The 26399-nt window shown below is 44.0% G+C and overlaps 1 protein-coding gene across 54 annotated transcripts in view; it reads left to right on the forward strand.

Annotated features, from left to right (window-relative positions):
- ATG13 (autophagy related 13) overlaps positions 1–26399 on the forward strand; it is a 56966-nt gene that overhangs the window by 24825 nt on the left and 5742 nt on the right. For 17 of the 54 annotated variants that reach the window (NM_001346319.2, NM_001346328.2, NM_001346320.2 and 14 more), the window contains 13 exon segments: positions 1902–1983; positions 2962–3042; positions 3493–3612; positions 6760–6806; positions 7800–7940; positions 13856–13896; positions 14718–14814; positions 15147–15245; positions 17015–17108; positions 22472–22582; positions 23006–23142; positions 25396–25510; positions 26122–26199. In NM_001346319.2, coding sequence (NP_001333248.1) covers positions 1915–1983; positions 2962–3042; positions 3493–3612; positions 6760–6806; positions 7800–7940; positions 13856–13896; positions 14718–14814; positions 15147–15245; positions 17015–17108; positions 22472–22582; positions 23006–23142; positions 25396–25510; positions 26122–26199 — 1230 coding nt within the window. In that variant the 5' untranslated portion in view covers positions 1902–1914. 54 annotated transcript variants of the gene reach the window in all.

Consider the following 26399-nt stretch of genomic DNA (forward strand, 5'->3'; position numbering starts at 1 on the left):
CCACTGCAACCTCTGCCTTCTGGGTTCAAGCAATTCTCTTGCCTCAGCCTCCCAAGTAGCTGGTATTACAGGCGTGTGCCACCACACCCAGCTAATTTTTGCATTTTTAGTAGAGACGGGTTTCACCATGTTGGCCAGGCTGGTCTCAAACTCCTAACCTCAGGTGATCCACCCTCCTCGGCCTCCCAAAGTGCTAGGATTACAGGCGTGAGCCACCGTGCCTGGCCTTCAGCTTTTCCTTTAAAATATCACCCAATCATGCCTATGCTAGATCATGCCTTGATCACAATCCTTAATTATTGCCAAGGACCTAACTGATTTCCCCATTTTTCATACTCAAAAGTGTTCTGCATTATGCCCGTAAAGCTATCTTTCTAAAGCACCATTCAGGATGTTGTTACCACTCTGATTGTGTCACTTCCTCTCGTCAAAAGCCTTGGGTGGGCTCCCCTGTCTCGCACACTAGGTGCAGATCTGGCTTCTAGACGCTGATTGTATTCAAGATGCTCATGGTCTGGCCCCAACCAGCTGTATTACTTCCTGTGAACAAAAGTTCTCTGCAAAGGAATTTGGAGGAAAGAGACTTTATCCCAGTGAACAGTTTGTAACCTGGCAGAACAAAGGGAGGGTGCAGGTTTTATAGTGCCTAGGTTCAGAGTCAGGTCTGTTTATGCAAAGGAAGGATTGAAACTTGCCTAGTTCTGGTTGGTCAGCATAGCCGAGTTCTGATTGGTTGATACAGCTGACCCCTGATTGGTTAGTTTCCAGGCCCAAAACCAGAGGTCTCTCAGACATTTGTTTCAAACGGCTGATTGAGGGAGTTCAGGGGTTGGGGGTTGGCGGTTCTTGCCCAGTTTAGCTTGGGATCAACAGCTCCAACAACGTGTCCAATCAACAACAGCTTGATTGTAAAAAGGGAGGTCTTCTACTACTTTTATACATGTTTTTGAGAACAAAGAGTACATGACTACTTGGTCCCCCAGCTATGGCCATCTTGTTCTGTTTTAAACATGACACCCCTCAGCTGCGGGAGTCTATTTTATCTGCTGGCTCAGGACGTCCATTAACATTTTCCAACTATACTCAATCCTTTGGAAAACTGGAGAAAACTGGAGTACTTAATATTTCTAAACCTAATTTGCTCTGTATTGTTTATACCTCTTTGTTCATGCTCGTCTCTCTCTAAATGCATTCTTTCTCTCAAATCATCTCAAATCATTTCAACCTGGGAGGGCTTTTTTTTTTTTTTTTTTAAATGAGACCGGGTCTCACCATGTTGATCTTGCCCAAGCTGGTCCAAATTCCTTGGCTCAAGCAGTCCTCCTGCCTTGGCCTCCCAATGTGTTGGGATTACAGGCATGACCCATAGCGGCCAGCCAGGGAGGGCATTCATGGTGTGTTTCATGAAATCCATGAATCCCCATGAAATTATATGCAAACATTCCTATATGTATGTTTTTTTCTGGAGAAAGGGCTTTTGTCAATAGATTCTCAAAAGCCCATAACTCCCCAAAGTTAAATTGATTTAGTGGCCTTTGAAGGAATATAAATTAACTAATGTGTGTTCAGCAAAGTTTATGTCTCATTAAAATTTAGTCCTGAATCTGCTGGATGATGAAATAATTTTGAATGGATAATTAAAGCTCAAAGTTTCAGAATCAGGTAAAATGTTCTCATTCATTTTTTAGGTTCCTAGATGTAGCTCAGTGTGGAATCTGTTTTCCTCAAGAGATAGTATCTCAGTATTTTTCACTTTGGTATCTTTAGTTAAAGGAAATTTTTTTCCTCCCACTCCCACATGATTATTCCTAGGCTAGTAGACAATACCATCTCTGTATGCTTTGATGTATCAATGCCTTTTTAAAGATATTAGTCATATTTTTTTCACTTTTTTTTTTTAGATTCCTATAGGCAATGGAAACTGATCTCAATTCCCAGGACAGAAAGGACCTGGACAAGTTTATTAAATTTTTTGCCCTCAAGGTAATGTGTCCATTCTCTTGAGCCTAGAACTGTTAGAAATAACTTCCGTGCTTCTCCCTTTTGCGAACAACTCTCTTTGGAAAGTAGCATAACAGCTTGCAGCTTGCCCATTTTAAGGGATACTTCTGTCTGTTGTCAACCAAACTGTGAGGTATGGGGGCGGTATTGGGGGTGTAGCTAAAATGTAGCTTCCAATTTTCCACAGCTACTTGTTCAAAAAAAAAATTTTTTTTTTTTTTGCAAGTCTGTTTGCAGAAATGTCAAACTGTTATGCCAGGTTATTGGCACAGTATGTTCCCTTTGGGTGGGAACAAAGACCATCAGCTGGAATGGGCAGCATTTTGGACATCTTTCCTTAAGTTTCAAGTAATCCTGAAATGTTCAACTTTTATATATTCTTCCCTTCCTGGTAAATGAGGAATTAAAATTGAATTTTGAATGCCATATTTTCCTAAATCTAAAAATCATTTCTACCTATGTCACTCCTCTCAACCATTGCCATGCTAGAACAATCCATGTAGTTGATTTTAGTTGTAAAATTATGTGGAAGACTTTTGCCATATGGGCCAAATGATATGAATAATTGTGGAATTTTTGTTTTAAATCTACCATGGTGTTATAAGTTTGTGGCAGGGAATATTTAAAACCACAGTTGGACACGTTTCTTTATGAACATCATAGCCACCATGCTCAGCTTTCCTTCTGCCATATGAGAATATTACAGTTTCCAAGCCTCAACCTGTAATTCCTTTCATTGGTTGACACTGTACCCTCAGGAATGTTTATAAAGTTATTTTTTGTATGTGGTGTTTTTTCTGTTCTCAAAAATTAAAATTATACTGTTTCCCAAAGTATACTTATGATTAATTGGCATCTTTTAAACTCTGTATTGGGAGGATTTTAACCCTGATCGGGAGCCAGATTAGTCTAAGACTTTTCATCATTTTAGGATTTCTTTTGTGTTTTTTTTTTCTTTAGACTGTCCAAGTGATTGTCCAGGCTCGGCTTGGTGAAAAGATTTGCACTCGTTCATCATCTTCTCCAACGGGTTCAGATTGGGTAAAATTCTATTATTTACTAAGGTGTATACTGTAGTGTTTGTCACAAGGAATGTGTAAAGTTCTCAAGTGCAATAATAAGTAATACCATTTATAGTATTATAAAAGTAAAATATCTAATTCCATTTGATCCATTTACTTGAAAAGGTTGTTCTTATTGTATGTTAATCCTGAATTTATTTGGTTCTTAACTTTCTGCTGTGATAGATGAAAAGCTTAGTCCTTGTAAGATAAAAATTGTGTCTTAGCTAATTTTTGTAATGATAATTACCTTTTTCAACTTGAGATTTGGGGCTTTGATGCAGGATTATCCCTTATGGGGAAGGGAGAAGTGAATGAATTGTCTTCCTTAATCAGCCACAGCAATACTTGCATTACCCAGCATACACTAATTTCTTTTTCCATAATGTTCCTGTGAGTGTTTCATGCAAAAGTCCCTTTTGTTTTCCAGTTCAACTTAGCAATCAAAGACATCCCAGAGGTTACACATGAAGCAAAGAAGGCACTGGCAGGACAGCTGCCTGCAGTCGGGAGGTCCATGTGTGTGGAGATTTCACTTAAGACTTCTGAGGTAAGGCTATGGCCAGGTTGGTGTCTTCATTTAGCACTGAAGGCTCCTCACACTCTGAGTCCAGTTCATTTCTCAGTCTTATTCCTGCCCCTTTCCTCTCTGATATTCTTATCATTCTCTGAGGGGGTCATAGTTTTTTTTGTTCTTTTTTGTTTGTTTGTTTTGTTTTGTTTTTTTGAGACTGAGTCTCGATCTGTCGCCCAGGCTGGAGTGCAGTGGAGCGATCTCGGCTCACTGCAACCTCTGCCTCCCAGGTTCAAGTGATTCTCCTGCCTCAGCCTCCTGAGTAGCTGGGATTACAGGTACATGCCACCATGCCTGGCTAATTTTTGTATTTTTAGTAGAGACAAGGTTTCGCCATGTTAAGTCAGGCTGATCTCGAATTCCTGACCTTGTGATCCGCCCGCATTGGCCTCCCAAAGTGCTGGGATTACAAGGGTGAGCCACTGCACCCACCCTGTTTTTTGTTTTTTGTTTTTGTTTTTGTTTTTGAGACAGAGTTTCACTCTTGTTGCCCAGGCTGGAGTACAGTGGCACGATCTTGACTCACTCCAGCCTCCGCTTCCTGGATTCAAGCGATTCTGCTGCTTTAGCCTCCCAAGTGGCTTGGATTACAGGAGCCTACCACCATGCCCAGCTAGTTTCTTTATTTTTAGTAGAGACAGGGTTTTGCTATTTTGGCCAGACTGGTGTTGAACTCCTGACCTCAGGTAATCCGCCCACTTTCGGCCTCCTAAAGTGCTGGGATTACAGGCGTGAGCTACTGCGCCTGGCCTGTTTTGTTTTTTGAGACAGGGTCTTGCTCAGTTACCCAGGCTGGAGTGCAGTGGCACAATCATGGCTCATTGCAGCCTCGACCTCCTAGGCTCAAACAGTCCTCCCACCTCAGCCTCCTGAGTAGCTGAGACTATAGGCATGCACCACCATGCCCAGCTAGTTTTTGTATTTTTTGTAGAGATGGGGTTTCACCATGTTGCCCAGGCTGGTCTCAAACTCCTGAGCTCAAGCGATCTGCCTGCCTCAGTCTCTCAGAGTGCTGGGATTACAGGGGTCGTGGTTTTTGAACTTATTATTCCAACCACTTGGTATAGGGTCTTTACCCTCTTGTTCACATGACATACTTCTGCTCATCCTTCAAGACTCGCGTGCTCTAGAAACTTTCCCCCTTTTAATGGGAGATATAACTGCAGTCTTAACTTAGACTTCATATGCTGCTTTGTTTATATTTGTTTCTAGAGTGTGACTTGCTGGGTGGTGGTGGTGGTTGCTTTTTGGGTTTTTGTTTTTTTTGTTTTTTTTTTTTGTTTTTTTTTTTTGAGACAGAGTCGCGTAGGTTGGAGCGCAGTGGCATGATCTCAGCTCACTGCAACCTCCGCCTCCCAGGTTCAAGCGATTCTCGTGCCTCAGCCTCCCGAGTAGCTGGGATTACAGGTGCGTGCCACCATGCCTGGCTATTTTTTGTATTTTTTGTAGAGACGAGGTTTCACCATGTTGGCCAGGCTGGTCTCGAACTCCTGACTTCAGGTGATCCACCTGCGTGGGCCTCCCAAAGTGCTAAGATTACAGACCTGAGCCACCATGCCCAGCCTGCTATTGTTCTGAGACTGGGTCTCACTCTGTCACCCAGGCTGGAGTGCAGTGGCGCAGTCATGGCTCACTGCAGCCTCAAATTCCTAGGTTCAGGGGATCCTCCCACCTCAGCCTTTCCAAGTAGCTGGGAGTATATGCTGCACCACCACACATGGCTAATGTTTAAAAAAAAAAAAAAATTTTGTAGAGACAGGGTCTCCCTGTACTGCCCAGGCTGGAGTGCAGTTCTGCTTATAGCTCACTGCAGCTTCAAACTCCTGGCCTCAACTGATCCTCCTGCCTCACACTCCAAAAGTGCCGGGATTATAGGAGTGAGCCACTTTGCCCAGCCTGTATTGTGAGTTTTAAAAAATGTTTTTGCTTGCCTTATTTCACATTAGGATTGATGCAGATACTGTTTCAATGTATTTTCACTGATAGATTATAAGGCTGTATGGTATAATGAAAGGTAAATAGAATTTGGAGCTACACAGAGCCAAGTTCAATCCCAGCTGAGTGACTTTAGCCAAATTACTTAACCCCACCCCCCCCAGCACTTTTTTTTCCTGCTCTGTTGCCCAGGCTGGAGTGCAGTGGCACGATCTTGGCTCACTGCAACCTTCCCCTCCTGGGTTCAAGCGATTCTCTTGTCTCAGCTTCCTGAGTAGCTGGGACTACAGGCACCCGCTACCACGCCCAGCTAATTTTTGTATTTTTAGTACAACTCCCAAAGTGCTGGGATTACAGGCGTGAGCCACCATGCCTGGCCCAGCAATTGTAATTCTGAAAATTTTCCCAAAGAAATTAATTGAGTTTGTGGGAGAAGTTTTAGTCTCAAGGTTGTTTATCACAATTTTTGCAGTAATGAAAATTAGAAACAACCTTTATGTTCACACTAAGATGAAGATACCCCCAAAAAAGAATAAAGAAACAACCTTGGCCGGGCGCAGTGGCTTACGCCTGTAATCCCAGCACTTTGGGAGGCCAAGGCAGGCAGATCACCAGGTCAGGAGATCCAGATCATCCTGGCTAACATGTGAAACCCCGTCTCTACTAAAAATACAAAAAATTAGCTGGCTGTGATGGCAGGCGCCTGTAGTCCCAGCTATTTAGGAGGCTGAGACAGGAGAATGGCGTGAACCCGGGAGGCGGAGCTTGCAGTGAGCCCAGATTGCACCACTGCACTCCAGCCTGGGCGACAGAGTGAGACTCTGTCTTTAAAAAAAAAAAAAAAAAAAAAAGAGAGAGAGAGAAACAACCTTTATGTCCAAGAATTGGAGGACTGGTTGGATAAAATGATAGTCATATGGTGGGATACTGTGGAACCATTTTAAATGATTTAGAATTTTTAATTATAAGGAAAATTCCATGACGTATTTATTAAGAAAAAACAAGTCATCAAAATAGCATATAGACTGTGATTGCCCTTTTATTTAGAGAAGAGGCTTGTTCGATTATAAGTTGATATCTATTCTTTTTTTTTTGCTTATCTATACCTTTTAATATTTTTATAGTGACTGTAATGCTTTGAAATTAAAAATTTTTTAAACAAATATTTTAAATTTGTCCTTTCTACAGGGAGATTCCATGGAGCTGGAAATATGGTGTCTTGAAATGAATGAAAAGTAAGTGCTGCGTCTTAGGGTCCTTGGTTGTGGTTGCTGAGGATAAAGTAGATGACATCATGTGAAAAGCAGGGCTTTGTTTTCAGAGTCAGGGAGGGCATTCTGACCACTTAACAAAGCCAATAGGTCTTTGCTACAATTTGCTTCATCCTTGGCTTCCAGCCTGGACACAGAGATGACCTTCAGAGGGAACATCAGTCCAGAGAGACTCAGATACTACAGGGAAAGGAGCAGCAGAAAAAGCTGAAAAGGCTTTGTTGTTTTCCCAGAGTACAGCTAGTTCTCTGATTAAATCCCTTGCGAGCTCTTGTAATATGACTACTCTGTTTTGTCTGTTTTCTGTGTGGCAGCCATCCAATAAGATTTCCCCTCCCTGCTCCTTTTTACAGACTGTATGGGTCATGGATTGGAAATGCATGTTATTTCCTTTCCCCATTTTCTTCTTTCAAGGCAGATTAGCTTATCTCTTGCCTGAAGCTTCAGTTTTCAACAAGAGTATATAGGAAAATTGAGGAAACATCAACACATCAAAAGAAAAATCTTAGTGATAAGTATATGTGGTGGACATTAATTTTCTTTATTGAATAAATGCAATTGCCAGGTTATGACCCAAAATTTTAGAGCCAAGCTGACTTTTCTGCAGACTTCTGTTAGATTATCGAGATAGACAGCTCATAGGATAGTACATGTTTGCACCTTCAGTGTATATAATTGCAGTATTTATTTATTTATATGTTTTCAGATGTGCTGCTTTATTTCTAAAAAAAAAATAACCACTTTGAAGCTAGAAAAAATATATTGGGTGCCTTTTGGTGCTCATTTGCCTGTGTCTAGTACATGAGAAAGTAAAACATTGGCTTACCTCAGTAATCTGTTGATAAAGGTGTAATTAGAGTTCTCTGGTTAGTCAGAACATGTCTTAATAATAAATTTGGTCTTGTGTAGCTCCAGCGCTAAATAGAAGAATGCTGACCATATCTTTGTGCCTGGCAGGTGTGATAAAGAAATCAAAGTTTCCTACACGGTGTACAACAGACTGTCATTGCTGCTGAAGTCCCTTCTTGCTATAACTAGGGTGACACCAGCCTATAGGCTCTCCAGGAAACAAGGGCATGAATATGTCATATTATACAGGTAAACAGCATAGATGGTCATCTTGATTCACTCATCAACCCCCTCACTTTGTACATTGTCTGGCATTTAGATGTTCTGTGATGATGTTTTGGACAGTTGGTTGGTTTGTTGGATTATTGATGCTGTCGCTTTCATGTGATCACTATCCAGCCTGCCTTATGAACCTCACCCTTCCAAAGCCACCAGGTTTATTATCCTTTTCTATATGCACAATCGTGATTCCTGTGGAATGGATGTTGAGGTCCTAGTGATAAACATCTTAGAGCTAGGGAAGGAAGTCAAGAGTTTTATTTATTTATTTATTTAGAGACGGAGTCTCGCTCCATCGCCCAGGTTAGAGTGCAATGGCGCGATCTTGGCCCATTGCAGCCTCTGCCTCCCGGGTTCAAGTGATTCTCCTGCCTTAGCCTCCCGAGTAGATGGGACTACAGGCACCCGCCACCATGCTCAGCTAATTTTTGTATTTTTAGTAGAGACAGGGTTTCACCATATTGGCCAGGCTGGTCTCGAGCTCCTGACCTTGTGATCTGCCTGCCTCAGCCTCCCAAAGTGCTGGGATTATAGGTGTGAGCCACGGCACCCGGCCTGGAAGTCAAGACTTTGAAAAACAGTCTATACTGGGAAGATTCCACAGTTTTCTGTATTCCAGGGTTAAATTAAAACTTTGTCTAACAAACTGTTAACTCAGTTTAAGTTTTTAATTAGTTGTCTGTGGATATAAAGAATGGGTCAACAGAGTATTTTCCTTGGAGCATTTCACCTCAGCACATTTATTGAGCACCTTTTTAGTGCAAGCATTGTGCCAGGAGAACTTAAGAACTATACAGAGGCCCAGCATTAGAGGTGGTTTAATGTAGTGAGGAAAACAATTTGATACATGTATAATTACTTTTAAAAAGCAGGATTTGAAAACTGCAAACCAGAATCAGGAAAAAAAGGTACTGAGAGAATATAGAAAGATAAAATTTGTTCTGGTTGGTAAACAGTGCAGTTCTTATGAAGGAAGTAGCATTCAAGCTAGCCTATTAGGGAAAGAGAATTTGAGCTGGTAAAAGTGAGGGAGAATAATTATTCCAGATGGAGAGTTCAGCAGCTAGCAAGGCACAGAAGTGGAGGGCAGGGTCAGAGCTCTGCTCAGATTGTCAGATGAACCAGAGTGGTGGAGTAGAGGGTATGTAGCAAAGTGTGAGAGAAGAGCTTGGAATGCTGGGGTCCCAAATCTACCAAAGATGCCTTTCTTTTGTATTTAGTGATAAGCCATTGGTTTAAGCCTTTGCCTTACATGTATAGAGCTGATTTTTAGACGAATAGTATAGCAAGATAGAGGGACCAAAGGAGGAGAGACTTATCTAGTTCTGTTGAAATAATCCGGTACCTGAGAATAGTTGTCATTTCCTTTAACTTTCTTAGCAATATCCTAGCAAGCCTAACCATGTCTATTTTTCTAGGTCTTTAATAAATTTTTGCCGTCTTCTCCGTAGTCTTCTGGTTTCAAGTTGTTTTATTTGAAAATTGCTAGACTTCTATTGAGATATATTAGAAAGATACCCTACTAAAATCATCGGCTTAGTTACCTAGGACTGCTAGTCCTTTTCATACCAGTGTTTAAAGTGTTCCTTTATTAGGTATCTCTGGAGTAATCATTACTGCTCACAGGGGCCGGACGCACGGCTGTAATCCCAGCACTTTGAGAGGCTGAGGTGGGTGGTCACTTGAGGTTAGGAGTTCGAGACAAGCCTGACAACATAGCGAAACACTGTCTCTACTAAAAATACAAAAAATTAGCTGGGCAGGGTGGCACGCTCCTGTAATCCCAGCTACTCGGGAGGCTGAGGCATGAGAATCACTTGAACCCAGGAGGCGGAGGTTGCAGGGAACCAAGATCACACCACTGCACTCCAGCCTGGGTGACAGGGCTATACTGTATCTCAAAAAAACCCAAACAAACTAGTGCTGCTCACAGGATGTTGATCATTTAGGAGTGCTTTTGGATACAAATAACTGTAGCTTAGATCTAGAGATGTGGGTGATCTCAGAGGTAGACTTGGCTTTTCCACCTGCTTTTTATACTGTTGTTAGAAGGTTAACAGCGTGATACCATTAAAGAATAGTCTTGACCAGGTGTAGTGACTCACGCCTATAATCCCAGCACTTTGGGAGGCCGAGGCAGGAGGATCACCTGAGGTCAGGAGTTCGAGACCAGCCTGGGCAACATAGTGATACCTTGTCTCTACTAAAAATGTAAAAAATTAGCCAGGTGTGGTGGTTCACATCTGTAGTCCCAGCTACTCAGGAGGCTGAGGGAGGATTGCTTGGGTCCAGAAGGTCAAGGCTTCAGTGAGCCATGATCACACCACTGCACTCCAGCCTGGGTGACAGAGCAAGACTCTGTCTCAAAAAAATACACATTGCCAAGAAAAAGTTTAGCAAATTTTAAGCACTGTATCAGTATTTACATGAATAGTGAACTGCCTGAGTCTCAGCTTCTTGTTAAAGGCCTTAAAGGGTATTTACTTAGCAAGATCTCTTTTACCAACACTTTATTAACATTGTTCCTATATTACTTTATGGCAGGAGTCACTAAACTATGGTCAGCCGACCATCTGCTTGTTTTTATAAAAAAAGTTTTTTTAGGACACAGCCATCCCCTTTGTTTACATATTGTCTATGGCTACTTTTGCAATACAACAGAAAGCTGAGTATTTGTTATAGCCTATACGGCCCACAATCTTAAAATAGTTACCATTTGGTCCTTTACAGAAAGGTTTGCTGATCCCTGCTTTTTTAGTATCTTTTGTCTGTCGTATCTGTAGTACTTTTGTGCTTTGTATTTCAGATATTTACATACATTTCATTTCTTTTCTTTTTTTTTTTTTTTTTGAGGTGGAGTCTTGCTCACCTAGGCTGTGCAGTGGCACGATTTTGGCTCACTGCAACCTCCACCTCCTTGGTTCAAGTGATTGTCGTGCCTCAGCCTTCCAAGTAGCTGGGATTAATAGGCATGCACCACCACGCCTGGCTAATTTTTGTATTTTAATTAGAGATGGGGTTTCACCATGCTGGCCAGGCTGGTCTTGAACTCCTGACCTCAATTGATCCGCCCACCTCGGCCTCCCAGAGTGCTGGGATTACAGGCGTGAGCCACCATGTCCAGCTACATTTCTTTTCTTTCATACAAAACTGTAGTCTGTAAGACCTAGGATTCAGATTTATCCTTATTTCATTCCTAACATCTAACCATGAAGCTTCTTTTTTTTTTTTTTGTTTTTTGAGACGGAGTCTCGCTGTGTTGCCCAGGCTGGAGTACAATGGCACAATCTCGGCTCACTGCAAGCTCCGCCTCCCAGGTTCACGCCATTCTCCTGCCTCAGCCTCCCGAGTAGCTGGGACTACAGGCACCCGCCACCACGCCCGGCTAATTTTTTGTATTTTTAGTAGAGACGGGGTTTCACCATGTTAGCCAGGATGGTCTCGATCTCCTGACCTCATGATCCACCCGCCTCAGACTCCCAAAGTGCTGGGATTACAGGCGTGAGCCACCGCGCCTGGCGAAGCTTCTTCATACATTGTTGGAGCTTAGTATTTATTGAATAAACCCATGTGTATATTTAATTTTAACAATATTACTTGAAAAATATGAAAATAGATTTTAGGTATTTTGAATTCAAACTTTTTGCTAATATAGACTGGCCTGTCCAGGGAGAATCATAGGAAGGTTCCACTGTGTTTATGTTTTTATTTTTTTTTTTCAGAATAGTCTTACCTAGTTCATTATTCCACGGTGGAAAAGATTTCCTGCTTTGTTAAGCCATCTACTTAGAGATTTCTTCATGGCCAGGCACAGTTGGCTCACACCTGTAATCCCAGCACTTTGGGAGGCTGAGGTGGGAGGATTGCTTGAGCCCCGGAGTTTCAGACCAGCCTGGGTCACATGGCAAGACCTCATCACTACTATTTTTAAAATTTTATATATATATATATATATATATATATGTAAAAGAGAGCTTCCCACAACTAAAGACCACTTATCAAACTCTAGTACATTCTGGTCAGGTATGGTGGCTCATGCCTGTGATCCCAGCACTTTGGGAGACTGAAGTGGGAGAATAATTTGAGGCCAGGACCAGGGGCAGTGGCTCACACCTGTAATCCCAGCACTTTGGGAGAATGAGGTGGGAGGATCGCTTGAGTTCAGGAGTTCGATACCAGCCTGGGCAACACACCGAGACCCTGTCTATACTAGAAATAAAAAAACTTAGCTGGGTGTGGTGGCACGTGCCTGTAGTCCCAGCTGCTTAGGAGACTGAGGTGAGAGGATCTCTTGAGCCCAGGAGGTTGAGGCTGCAGTGGGCAGTGGTCATACCACTGCACTCCAGCATGGGCAACACACTGAGACCCTGTCTCAAAAAAAACAGTTGAGGCCAGGAGTTTGCAACCAGCCTGGGCAATAGTTAGACCCTGTCTCTACCAAAAATTATTTTTAAAAAACCCGAAAAACAGGCCAGGCATGGTGGCTTGCACCTGTAATCCCAGCACTTTGGGAGGCTACGGCGGGTGTATCACTTGAGCTCAGGAGTTCAAGACCAGCCTGGGCAATGTGGCGAAACCCTGTCTCTACCAAAAATACAAAAATTAGCCAGGCATGGTAGCGCATACCTGTAGTGCCAGCCATTTGGGAGGCTGAGGCACAAGAATCGCTTGAGTCCAGGAGGTGGAGGTTGCAGTGAGCCAAGATGGTGCCATTGCACTCCAGCCTGAGCGACAGAGCGAGACACTGTCTCAAAAAAAACCAAAAAACAGGTCCGGGCGCAGTGGCTCACGCCTGTAATCCCAGCACTTTGGGAGGCTGAGACGGGCGGATCACGAGATCAGGAGATCGAAACCATCCTGGCTAACACGGCGAAAACCCGTCTCTACTAAAAATACAAAAAATTAGCCGGGCGCGGTGGCGGACACCTGTAGTCCAGCTGCTCGGGAGGCTGAGGCAGGAGAATGGCATGAACCTGGGAGGCGGAGCTTGCAGTGAGCCGAGATTGCACCACTGCACTCCAGCCAGGGCGACAGAGTGAGACTCAGTCTCAAAAAGCAAAACAAACAAACAAAAAAACAGCCGGGCGTGGTGGCATGCGTCTGTAATCCCAGCTACTTGGGAGGCTGAGGTAGGAGAATCGCTTGAACCCAGGAGGCTGGAGGTTGCAGTGAGCCGAGATCATGCCACTGCACTGCAGCCTGGGTGACAGAGCAAGACTCCGTCTCAAACAAAACAAAACAAAACAAAACCAGTGCCTTCTAGTAGCAATCCTAGACCTGTTGGCCACTTTTATTTATATATTCTTTATTTCTCAGTAGGTATAATTTTAAAATACATTTTAGTAGCAGAGAGAAGAAACTTAAATAGCAGTTTCCACTTAATTATTATTTTCCTCATTTCTTTTTTTGAGACAGCGTCTCATCCTTTTGCCCAGGCTGGAATGCAATGGTGCAATCTTGGCTCACTGCAGCGTCAACTTCCTGGGCTTAAGTGATCCTCCCACCTCAGCCTCCCAGTTATCTGGTACTCCAGGCATGCACCATCACACCCGGCAAAATTATTTTTTGTCAATGCAGGGTCTTGCTGTGTTGCCCAGACTGGTCTTGAACTCCTGGCCTCAAGTGATCCTCCCGAAGTGCTGGGATCACAGGCATGAGCCACTGTGCCTGGCCTTATTTTCCTTATTTTTTAACCAACCCACTCTGTACGTCTCCATGCCTGTAGCTTAATTGAAGTAGTAGGAATTACTAATGCTCCATCAGCAGAGGTATTTGAGCAGATGAGTAAGGAAGGCTTTGTTTTATTTTGTTTCTACGTGTTTTGGCTATAGAGGCCCTTAGGAGTAAAGAATCAGGTAACATTTCTTATTTTTTCTTCCATACAGGATATATTTTGGAGAAGTTCAGCTGAGTGGCTTAGGAGAAGGTATGTATCAACGGTTGAAAAACATCGTAGTGTTCAGAGCTCTCCTAACTTCAGAGATGATCTTCGTTTCTACTTGTTATAATATGTAGATTGTCATCTTAATATGCATAATACAAGTAAAGAAAAGATGAGAATGCAGGTAGGTGGTCCAGGTTACCCCTGATCTGCCAGGGTAACCAAATAATTTTTCCCAAAGTTCCAGGAACTCAGTCTTCTTTCTTACTCTTTATAAAACTGTATATTTTCCTAATTTTCTACAGTGAGGATGTTAAATGTTTCTGATGAACAACAAGAATTTTGAAAAATTGGAAATGAAACCAAGAAAATCAGGAAAGCTTTGTTGAAAGTGTCACTTGCAAGGCCTTGGCTCTTTACTTAGCCGTGGAGTGGCAGCTTGGGTGGAAGGCAATTACTTCTTAAACTGAAGTGTTTGTGTGACATTCTAGTGCTCCTTCATTGTCTTTTTTAGCATGTGATGTATCCTTTGCAGGGCTGGTTAGTAGAACTTTCTCAGGCCTTAAAACTAACAGTTATTTTATCTCTTTGAAGGTAGCTTTATCTATAAATAGAGTGCTGTTTCCCTTGCCAATATTGGCTCAATATAGAATACATTGAGAGGGAAGAAACCTATATATACACACACATACACGCACATACACACACACACACACACACATATGAAATTAAGGCTGCTGCACTTAACATGCTAAGTGGATAATGCCAGAGATTACACAATAGGCCAAATAATTCAGGGAAAGACGGTCTGGGGGCAGTGTCAGTATTCTCTGCAAAAGAAGCTAATAATGTATCTCTTCTCCTAGGCTTCCAGACAGTTCGTGTTGGGACAGTGGGCACCCCTGTGGGCACCATCACTCTTTCTTGTGCTTACAGAATTAACTTGGCATTCATGTCTACCAGGTGAGGAAGAGCCCTGGAATCCAAAAGAACTCTTCCGAAAATGTTAAAGTTTTTTTTCTCCTAAACTTTAAGACTAAACCTACAATTCAGCTTTGCTGAAAGCAGTACCTTCAGAAGAATAAAGAGAGAGTGCAGTTGCCAGATTGGAGAATTTGAGTGTCCCAGAGCCAGTTTGTCCAGAACGTAGGATTGGTGGTTTATATTTAGGGATTGTGATAGTTAAAGCTCTGGTAGTGCCTGCCAACAGATGTAAGGTGAGGGGCCCTCTGAGGACTTTGTGGGGGCTGGAAAGGCATTCTAACAAATACTGGAATCTGCTTATTGTATTACAGGCAATTTGAGAGGACCCCACCTATCATGGGGATTATTATTGATCACTTTGTGGACCGTCCCTATCCCAGCTCCTCTCCCATGCACCCCTGCAATTACAGGTGAGGAATGTGAAAAGGTGCTCTCCCAAACTGCAGCTGGGCAGAAGCATCCATCCTGCACAAGCACATGGAACACTTTTCTCAGCACTCACTCTCCAGTGGGCAGGGGGCCACTGATGGAGACCCCACGTGGAGAGAAATCAAATGGGCCAGTTTCCCTTCTTTCTGCTCCCTCTTAGGTACACCAAGACTTAGTATATACAGACTGTCTCAGAAAATTCTTGGGATATTTTGGATCTTGATGTTAGTGATAAGACTTTTCTTGGTGAAACCCCATCTCTACTAAAAATACAAAAATTAGCTGGGCATGCCAGCACATGCCTATAATCCCAGCTACTCAGGAGGCTGAGGCAGGAGAATTGCTTGAACCTGGGAGGCAGAGGTTGCAGTGAGCTGAGATTGCACCACTGCATTCCAGCCTGGGCTACAGAGTGAGACTCCTTCTCAAAAAAAAAAAAAAAGACTTTTCTCAGTTACAAGTTACTTAGAGCCTTAGAAGAGTGGCAGTGATTTGTGGAATATCCTTGACAAATTAATTGGTTTTCAGGTTACCATCTGGCACATTAGTTTCATATCAGAATAAAATGTCTCCAGGTCTAGAACTCAGAAAACAGGGGTTAGACTAGATGTATATCAGGAAGGATAGTACCTTTATGTGATAGACTTGTGAAATTGAATAGGCTTGGCTTTAGGGTTTAGATACTTGTTTCGTGGAGTCTCTACTACTGATAATTCTTTGAAAACCCAGATGTGGCTCCATTACTGGCCTGGCTTAAGAAAATGCTCTCTCAGACCAGGCATGGTGGCTAACACCTATAATCCCGGCACTTTGGGAAGCTGAGATCTGTGGATTGCTCAAGCCCAGGAGTTGGAGATCAGCCCAGGCAATGTGGTGAAACACTGTTTCTACCAATTTTTTTTTTTTTTTTTGAGACGGATTTTCACTCTTGTTGTCCAGGCTGGAGTGCAGTGGCATGATCTTGGCTCACCGCAGCCTTCACCTCTTGGGTTCAAACAGTTCTCCTGCCTGAGCCTCCCGAGTAGCTGGGGTTACAGGCATGCGCCACCACGCCCGGTTAATTTTTGTATTTTTAGTAGAGACGGGGTTTCTCCATGTTGGTCAGGCTGGTCTCAAGCTCCTGACCTCAGATGATCCGCCTGCTTCGGCCTCCCAAAATGCTGGAATTACAGGTGTGAGTGAGTCTACCAATTTAGAAAAAAAGAAAAGAAAAGAAAATGCTCTCTCAAATAATAGGTCAGGTAAGATGTTTGGGTTTAAAAAACAGGCTGGATGCAGTGGCTCACACCTGTAATCCTAGCACTTTGGGAGGCTGAGGCTGGAGGATTGCTTGAGCTTAGGAATTCAAGACCAGCCTGGGCAACAGAGGGAGACCCCTGTCTCTACAAAAAATTAAGTTAGCTGAGCATGGTGGTACATTCCTGTAGTCCCAGCTACTCGAGGCTGAAGCAGGAGGATTGCTTGAGCCTGGGAAGGCTGCAGTGAGACATGCCACAGCACTCTAGCCTGGGTGACAGAGTGACACCTTGTCTTAAAAATGAGAAACAAGAACAAAACATTGTCAAACCTCTGAGTGCCACTCTCTGGAATGTTTGAAATTATTGAGGACTCCACATGCCTTTCTTGCCAGTACGAACTGTGTGAAACCGTTCTTAGCACAGGTCCCATCTCTATCTAATCACCTTTTATAGCCTTTCTGAAATTGACTGCCACCACCATAAAATTCATTATTTCTTTCTTTTCACTTTAGAACTGCTGGTGAGGACACTGGAGTAATATACCCGTCTGTAGAAGACTCTCAAGAAGTGTGTACCACCTCTTTTTCCACCTCCCCACCATCCCAGGTAGGGGGAAGCAGGTTCTGGGGTGGTGGTAGTTATTTGGTATATATATGGGCTTTATGAAATGGTGTCCAAATTTAGCTACAATCCCTTTTAATAGTGGTGGTGATTGTTTCAAAGGGGTTACTTTGAGGGGTAAGAGAGAGCCTTCTTGTCCAGAAGATAGTATTTCTAGTCTGTAATTATTCATAACCTTCAAGATTACATTTAGCCCTTACCTTCCTGGTGACATCTTAAAATTCCCTAGAACATCAGTCACAGAATTCCAAATGCATTCTGACACCAGAGATTTTGTCTAACTTACACTTGTTAACTTCATAGCTACTTCTCTATTGAGTGGTAAATTTCATTTCTAATAATGGAAGAGGCCCCAAAGAGCCAAAAATTATTTAGCATAAAATGACAGGGAGAAACCAGTAGTACAGCTTTTCTTTATAGTTGACACAGATTTCTGCTTGTGTGTATTCCTTATCCAGACATTTTTAACCATTAACTTTTCCACTTCAGTCTTCAGTGGCAAACCCAGTTTCATAAAACACAGGCTCCAAACACTGTTGTCAGCTTCCCCAGAGAAAGCACCCCTGTGGTCTTGTTGTGTAATGTGTGTGGCGCCAAGGCTGCTTTGGCTAAACAGTCATTTTTGCAGCTGGCTGAATTGCTGGGGCACATTTCTTGCCTTCCACCACAAGTCACTCATCCTCAGCTTCCTTGCCTCCAGATTCCTCTTCTGCCTGCATTAAGTATTGCTTTCCTCTTTGACTTTCACATTAGATGGTTTCTTCTAGATCTACCTCAGTTCTACTTGCCTTTAAATCAGCCCAGATTCTCCTGTTTCAACTTCTTATTTGGAGGACCAGACAAATTCATTAGCTGTCCATGTGTTTTTATTTACTGTTGTTGTTGGTTTTTTTTTTTTTTCAATTTTTCTTTTTCCCTTTTTTTTTTGAGACGGAGTCTTGCTCTGTCACCCAGGCTGGAATGCAGTGGCATGATTTCAGCTCACTGCAACCTCTGCCTCCCGGGTTCACGCCATTCTCCTGCCTAGCCTCCCGAGTAGCTGGGACTATAGGTGCCCGCCACCACGCCTGGCTAATTTTTTGTATTTTTAGTAAAGATGGGGTTTCACCATGTTAGCCAGGATGGTCTCGATCTCCTGACCTCATGATCCGCCCGCCTCGGCCTCCCAAAGTGCTGGGATTACAGGTGTGAGCCACTGCGCCCGGCCTTTTTTTTTTTTTTAATTTGAAACAGGGTCTCACTCTGTTACTCAGGCTGGAGTGCAGTGGTGCAGTCATGGGTCACTGCAGCCTAGACCTCCCAGGGTCAGGTGATCCTCCCACCTAAACCTCCGGAGTATCTGGGACTATAGGCATATGCCACCATGCCCAGCTAATTTTTTTAATTTTCTGTAGAGATGGGGTTTTGCCATGTTGCCCAGGCTGGTCTTGAACTTCTGGACTCAAGTGATCTGTCTGCCTTGGCCTCCCAAAGTGTTGGGATTACAGGCTTGAGCCCCCACACCCAGCCCTTCTGTGTTTTTTGTTTTGTTTTGTTTTGTTTTGAGACAGGGTCTGTCTCTGTCGCCAAGGCTGGAGTGCAGTAGCGCAATCTTGGCTCACTGCAGCCTCCGCCTCCCAGGCTCAAACCATCCTCCCACCTCAGTCTCCCAAGTACTGTTTTTGTAATTCCAAAAATTAAAAAATTTTTTCCATCTTTGGTTGTTGGAGGAGATATTGGATTAAAGTCATAGTTCTGCCGGGCGCAGTGGCTCACGCCTGTAATCCCAGCACTTTGGGAGGCCAGGGCAGGCAAATCATGAGGTCAGGAGTTTGAGACCAGCCTGGCCAACATGGTGAAACCCCCCTCTTTACTGAAAATACAAAAAATTAGCTGGGCCTAGCGGTGGGCGCCTATAATCCCAGCTACTCAGGAGGCCGAGGCAGGAGAATTGCTTGAACCCCGGAGGCAGAGGTTGCAGTGAGCCAAGATTTCCCCACTGCACTCTAGCCCGGGCAACAGAGTGAGACTCCGTCTCAAAAAAAAAAAAAAAAAAGTCATAGTTCTGCAAGGCTCAGTAGCTCATGCCTGTAGTCCCAGCCCTTAGGGAGGCCAAGGAAGGAGGGAGGATCGCCTGAGCCCAAGAGTTCAAGACCAGCCTGGGCAACATGGTGAAACCCTGTCTCTACCAAAAATAAAAAAATTAGCGGGTGTGTTGGTACAAACCTGTAGTTGCAGCTGCTTGGAAGGCTGATCTGGGAGGATCGCCTGAGCCTGGGAGGTTGAAGCTGTAGTGAGCTGAGATCGCACCACTGCCCTCCAGCCTGGGTGACAGAGCGAGATCCTGTCTCAAAAAAAAATAAAATAATAAACTCACAGTTGTAATCTGTTTCAAAAGCAGGAGTTAATGTCTGTGATTGATGTTGTAGAATCCATGGATCACTATTGTTTCTATTGTCCTAGTTTGTTTTGGGTGAAAGAGATTCTTGTTCTAAAGTTGCCAGAACAGTTTAGTTTGGGGGTTTGAGAATTGTCATTCCCCTGCTCTCATGAACATATGTAGGCATGAATGTCAGCAGTGATCTGGTCAGGGGAGCTTCTTGTATGCTTACTGACACAGAGTAGCATTGACAAAAAAAGCAGACAAAGACCTACTTTCTTCCTAGTGCACATTAATAGAAGCAGGGTTTTTTGTTGTTGTTGTTGTTTTTAGGTAATTAACTTGTAGATATGTCTAATATTTTTCTTTTTATTTTTATAAGCTCATCCCAGCTGTTCTAAAAGATATGTCAAATTTAAATTTCAGTAAGCAGTTCTGTTTTACAAGTAATAGATTCATAAATAATAAAGTTGTAACTTGCGAGATATGAGGGATGGTGAGACTAGGCCTTAACCAAATCAGTTTGTCTGTTTCCCTGATACAATGGAAAGTTGAACCTAAAAGTAAATGGAAGTTTAGTAGTTTCTGCACCTGGTGTTTGCATCAAAGTTTGTATGCCTGTGTGACTAGAGGCTATCTTTTTAATGGTAACTGTCTCTTATTGTGTCTTATTGCAATTTAAAACTAGATCACACCAAATTCTTATCAACAGTCTGCACTCCATAAGTGAGCCCTGTCATCATTACTCCCTGGGGACCTCTGATCAAGGCTGGTACAATTTGGTACAAAAATACTCAATTTTGAACCTAATTTCTCTTGGCAGTAGAGAGACAGTCATTTGCTATCATTTCTCCTCATTCCTGTTAATATTATTCCTGTTAATAATGTAGTATTTTTCTTAGTGACTTGCATAATTACTCAATTCAGCAACTTCTATTGGAGCTTTTGCTGGAGTCCAGTAAATACATGTTAATGTGATGTTGTTGGTTTTGCCAACAGTATAAGGATCGTTGTGCCATTTGGGCACAGAGTTGAGTCTAGAAATGAACCTACTGTGTGGCCTAAGGTCCTGCCTCTAGTTCTAAGCATTAATTAGCTAATCGGTCAGGTTTAAAACTGGAACAGTCCAGGCGCGGTGGCTCACACCTGTAATCCCAGCACTTTGGGAGGCCGAGGTGGGCGGATCACGAGGTCAGGAGATCGAGACCATCCTGGCTAACACGGTGAAACCCCGTCTCTACTAAAAATACAAAAAAATTAGCCAGGCTTGGTGGCGGGCACCTGTAGTCTCAGCCACTTAGGAGGCTGAGGCAGGAGAATGGCGTGAACCTGGGAGGTGGACATTGCAGTGAGCCAAGATCGCACCACTGCACTCCAGCCTGGGCGACAGAGTGAGACTCCATCTCAAAAAAAAAAAAAAAAAAAAAATGGAACAGTAAGACCCAAAATAATCATCATGACCATAATCATTATGCCCTTAAGTAGCTTTGAAATCATAAGAGTTTTCAACATGCCCCCAGCTTTTTACTTCATCAGGTTCACCTATGCCATCAGGGACTGTAAGAACGCATACACACACCCCTGCACACCCACTTGTCTTCCCTGGAATGACGTAGGAAGCATGCATCTGAGCTTCTTCAAGTTCCAGCCACCCCTTCAGCTGTTTGAAACTGTCCTGCAGATTCTGGGTTTCCTGAAAAAGGCTTTCAGTTGAACATTACAAGCCCCGCATCCTTACTCATCTTCAGCACACCTTGCATCTGCAGTCAGACCTTTCTGTTGGAAGCTGCTGTCTGACTTCCTGTCTTTTTTGAGTAGAGACAGACTAATGGTTGACTCAAGTTTCTCTGTTTTGCCAAGTTGTAGCCAGCTCACCTCAGCTTTGTTTTCTAACTGCTTATCAGGGACACAGGCATACATGGAATGCCCTGAAATAAACATCACTCTAGGAATCTTCCAAGTTGTCCCTTTGGAAAGACAGCCCCACGCCCTTGCCCTGCTTCACTCCTGACTCCAGTGTCAGTTCTGGCCTCTCTTGCTACTGCCCCTTCCAGAGTTTCTTCACTTCTTTCTCAAGTCCCTTTTCTTTTTTTTTTTTTTTTTTGTTTCTCCTGTCTCTGTGTGTGTCTGTGCACAGTGTGTGTTTACTGTCACAAAGGCACATTTTCAGACCCCTACTCCTGTGGTGACGGACACCCTGAGGGTCCCCATGGCAGGACTGGCCTTTTCCCATCAAGTGAGTCCATAATGGGAAGAAGGGGATATAATCAGATGGCATCCTTTTATTTAAAAATTGTAAATAAATTATAAGGTACAGTTATTTAAATGTCCCAAGTGTTCTGTGGGATTATTTTGAGGCTTGGTAATAGATTTTAATAGGACACAGCCACGGCCCAACAGCCTAAAATAGGGAATTTTCATCTGCCCCTCCTCCTACCATTGATGTGAAAAATACATGGAGTTATTTATATCAGATTTTTAAATAAACAACTCACAACTGGTATTCTGTCTTTTTTCAATATAAATAGCAACATTCCCATACCCAGGGGTGATGGAGGGTGTGATTAGAGAAGAGGACTTTCTATGTCAAAGGGGCCTCAGGACAAAGGAGAGAATAGAATGACTTTGGAGAACCTGGTGACTTCGGCTACCAGTTCTGCGCAGGCTTGTGCTCCACACATCTGCTGGGCTTAGCACTGAAACAGTTAGCTCAGCCCCTGGGAAAACGGGGAGCAAGGAACTTATTTGAGGCCTTTGGGAAGCTCCACAGCTTGGAATCCCAATCCCAGTACAAACAAGTCTGTGTTTTCTTCTCTAATAACGGCCTCATCTGTCCCTAACCCCTATCACGTCAGGCCCCCTGCACTGTGGGCATGTGGGCGGGAGCCATTCCTTATCTCTCTACTGAGCCATCTTGTTTGTCACGCTCTGGGATTGCCTATTTTTTCCTTGCCTTTCCTTTTCTCCTCTTTGTTTTTCTCTTGCTTAGCTCTCAAGCTCTCGCCTTTCCTATCAGCCTGCTGCCCTGGGCGTTGGATCAGCTGACCTGGCTTATCCAGTAGTGTTTGCTGCTGGCTTAAATGCTACACACCCTCACCAGGTATCTTTAAAGATGGGGAGGACTATGGGTTTCCAGTGCTGCCTCCCCTGCCCGGAGGCAATTGAGGGGTCTCTCAAGGCAGAGGGATATGTTCTAAGTGCTATATTCTGAAGCAAAACTCTTTCGTGACTTCAGAGACCAAAAGTGACTCGAGAGGAAGGAGCCTCTTAGACTTCAGAAAGGAAAGAAGACTTTTCCAGGATTTTTCTCCATTTCCTTTTTCCTCTGTAGTCATTAGTCATTACCGTGCATTTCTTCCATTAACTGAGTTTCAGAGAGGATAAAGATCCAGGGATTGCTGCCTACTTGGTGGCAGCGTTGGTGATGGAAAAGTCAAAAGCAGATACCATCATGCTAGAATGTGAAGTTCCCCTCCTGCCTGGCATGCCATGATTCACTGTCTCTTTCCATTTTTCCCCAAAGCTGATGGTTCCTGGGAAGGAAGGTGGGGTACCCCTTGCTCCCAACCAGCCTGTCCATGGTACCCAGGCTGACCAGGAGAGACTGGCAACCTGCACCCCTTCTGACAGAACCCACTGTGCTGCCACACCCTCCAGTAGGTGAGTTCACATTTTGGCTCTGTCTCTGGTAAGGCTGGCCAGGGGCCTGGGCTCCCTGACACACGTGCTTATTTAGAATTAGTAAAGAGTAACTTTCAGCATTGGCTGGGACATGGCATTTGAGCCCAAAGCATGGACTCCTAGCTGGGAGTGGTGGCTCACACCTATAATCCCAGCACTTTGGGAGGCCAAGGTGGGAGGATTGCCTGAGGCCAGGATTTTGAGATTAACCTGGCCAATATAGTGAGACTCTGTCTCTCAAAAAAATTTATTTTTCCTTTTTTTTTTTTTTTTTTTTTTTTGGAGACAGAGTCTCACTCTGTTGCCTAGGCTGAAGTGCAGTGGTACAATCATGGCTTATTGCAACCTCCACCTCCTGAGTTCAAGTGATTTTTGTGCCTCAGCTTCCTGAGTAGTTGGGATTACGGGCGCGTGCCACCACACCTGGCTAATTTTTGTATTTTTAGTAGAGATGGGGGGTCTCGTCATATTACCTAGGCTGGTCTCGAACTCCTGGCTTCCAGTGATCCTCCCGCCTTGACTTCCCAAAGTGCGGGGATTACAGGCGTGAGCCACCACGCACAGCCTCAAAAATATTTTTTTTAAATGAAAGAGAAAAAGTGTAGACTCCTTGAAGTTCCCTGGTAAGAATCTGATATATCTGCTGGGATGTCAGGAAGCTGGCGTGGAACTTCAGTACCAACGGGAAACAGCAGGAGCTCGGTTCTTGTCACCCTTATCCAGTAAAGGGGTTGTCAGATGTTTTTCTCTTACCCCAAGATTTATATCCTTGGAGTCAGTCCTTAGTGTTTCCCAAGGACCAGAACAGGGTGTTGACCATGGCCCTGAAGTCTGGGCCACAGTATGTCTGTGTTATAGTTGGGATTGATCTCCTTTTTCTGCTGTGTCAGAGCCTCATGGAGAGCCTTTGGAACAACTGTTTTCCTCATTTAAAAAAATGTAAATCTTTGTCTTTTCTGATTACCGAAGTGATACATTCTGTAAAACTCAAATCCTAAAGACATTAGATAGGAAGTGAACGTTCTCATATTTCCACCCTGCAGAAGTCACCACTGTTACCTGCTTATTTAAAGACTGAAAGAAACTTTCAGAACGGTTAAGTGATTGGCCTGAGCTCAGTTAGCTCACAGGGCACAAGGGCGAGCAGATTCTCTGACTCCAGAGCCCCACCCCTTCTTTCCACGATGCTTTCACTCTCCCTGGGGAGCCATGGGCTGTTTTGACCTGCCCTACCCTCCCTTGATTTTGAAGGCCCCAGAGATACTGAGATTACTTTGCCCCCTCACATTCTAAATGAACTTTCTCCTGATAGAAATTCCTGATTTTTTTTTTTCATTCCCACGGTAAAGTGGGAAGGAGTCATTTAGGAAGGTTTTTGTGTGTGTGTGTGCCATCCATCAGGAAAAATAATTTATGTCATTCCTGGCTTCTCAAACTTCCATCCTCTCCCTTTTCTCCCTCTGTTAGATGATTAAAGGCATTTTACACTCTAGTTTTCTGAGCCTTGACTCTTGGGACATATCCAGGAGTAGCTAAAGACAGAGGCCCCTGTGTGGAAATTCTTAAATGGAGGTCATAAGAGCTCAAAAGCCTTTGCATAGTACAGGTCCTCCCTGCTGGCTGGAGTCCAGGGGCCACTTGACTGCACAATCCTCCTGCCCACCTTGAATCCCCGTTTTTGGCCAGAGGACTTTTCCTAACCCTTGCTGCTTGCAGGGCTGTGACTGCTGGTTTGGCAGCCACAGCCATGGGCCCCCACTGCTGCTGCTTAGGGCCCCCTGTGCAGGACTCAGCTTCAGTCTGAAAGGCTGGGGAAGGAGGGAGTGGGAACAGCCAAATTAAATATGTCATTCAAAGACCTTTAGTTGAGGGAGGGATGATTGGGGGCGAGGAGAGGGGAGGAAACATGGCAGGGAGCCTAGAGAACCTTAGCCCAGGCAATTTGTCAAGGGTGAAGAGATCTCTGGCAGGCTAAGGAATCAAATTTGGAACTAAAGAAGAAGAAAAGCTAGAAATTTTAGTAGTTCCAGGAAGTGCAGCCCTCTACAATCAACTCAAAAGGCAGGGCAATAGTGGCATCAGCCAGACCACATAATGCCATCTCCCATTGATGGGCCAGTGGGGACCAACTCCTGCCCTAGGCCACAGCCCCACCAGATGGTGTATTTATAGTGAACTAAGTCGTCCTGCTGTGGTTTGAGAACGAGTACTAACTTCACCTTTCTCCTCCAGTGAGGATACTGAAACCGTATCAAACAGCAGTGAGGGACGGGCCTCCCCTCACGATGTCTTGGAGACCATCTTTGTCCGAAAAGTGGGGGCTTTTGTCAACAAACCCATTAACCAGGTGATTTTTCTGCCACTGCCACCTGTGAGAATGTCTGAGTTCTTAGAGTAAGGCCCCACAGGCAGTTTTCTTAACCTGAGATATTAATATATATGAAACTACTGAACTGGCATGCAAAACTGTATGTGTGTGTAAATTTTTCTGTGAAGAGGATTAATAACCTGTGCTACCCCTCCAGAATAAGTTAAGAACTATTGTCCTGTGACCTTTTAAAGCCTCCTACAAGAAAGGGAGACTAGACCTAGATACCATTTAGTACAAAAACACTACACTGTGTCATTGCCTCGGCCTTATTTGAATTGAACTAGGAGGTTCCTCCTCAGCGGGGCCAGTGAAGCACATTATTACTGCATTACTGTGGATCAGGCTTCCAAAGCTGAATTCCCAGGGTCCTCAGGACCCCAACCCTTGTTTATGCTGTGGGTGTATGTGATGGGGGACAGGGAGGTGAGCGAGCTTGGAGAGCCTCTAACAAGGCAGGAGCCTAAGGGGCAGCATGGTCAGCATAGCTGTGTGAACTTGCTGGACCTCTAGGCTTCTGGCAACCAGGAAGGAAGCATGAACACTGCAGGAGGGGCAGGCATGAATGCTTTTCTCCTGTGTCTCTTCAGGTGACCCTGACGAGTTTGGATATACCCTTTGCCATGTTTGCTCCCAAGAATTTGGAGCTGGAGGATACCGATCCAATGGTGAGCCCACCGTTGACTACGAGTTCCCAGTAGATGGTGCGCTAGTCATTGTTCTTCCTGAGCCAGAGTCACTAATCCCCCACAGACTATAAACCATGGCCCCTCGGCTTACGGGTTTGTAGCCAGCATTAAGTTCTTCCCAGAATTTTCAGATTGTTTACAGTAACTTGAATCTGGGTCACAGCATCAGCCCTAATCCT

The sequence above is a fragment of the Homo sapiens genome, chromosome 11 (assembly GCF_000001405.40).
Source record: "Homo sapiens chromosome 11, GRCh38.p14 Primary Assembly".
NCBI lineage: Eukaryota > Metazoa > Chordata > Mammalia > Primates > Hominidae > Homo > Homo sapiens.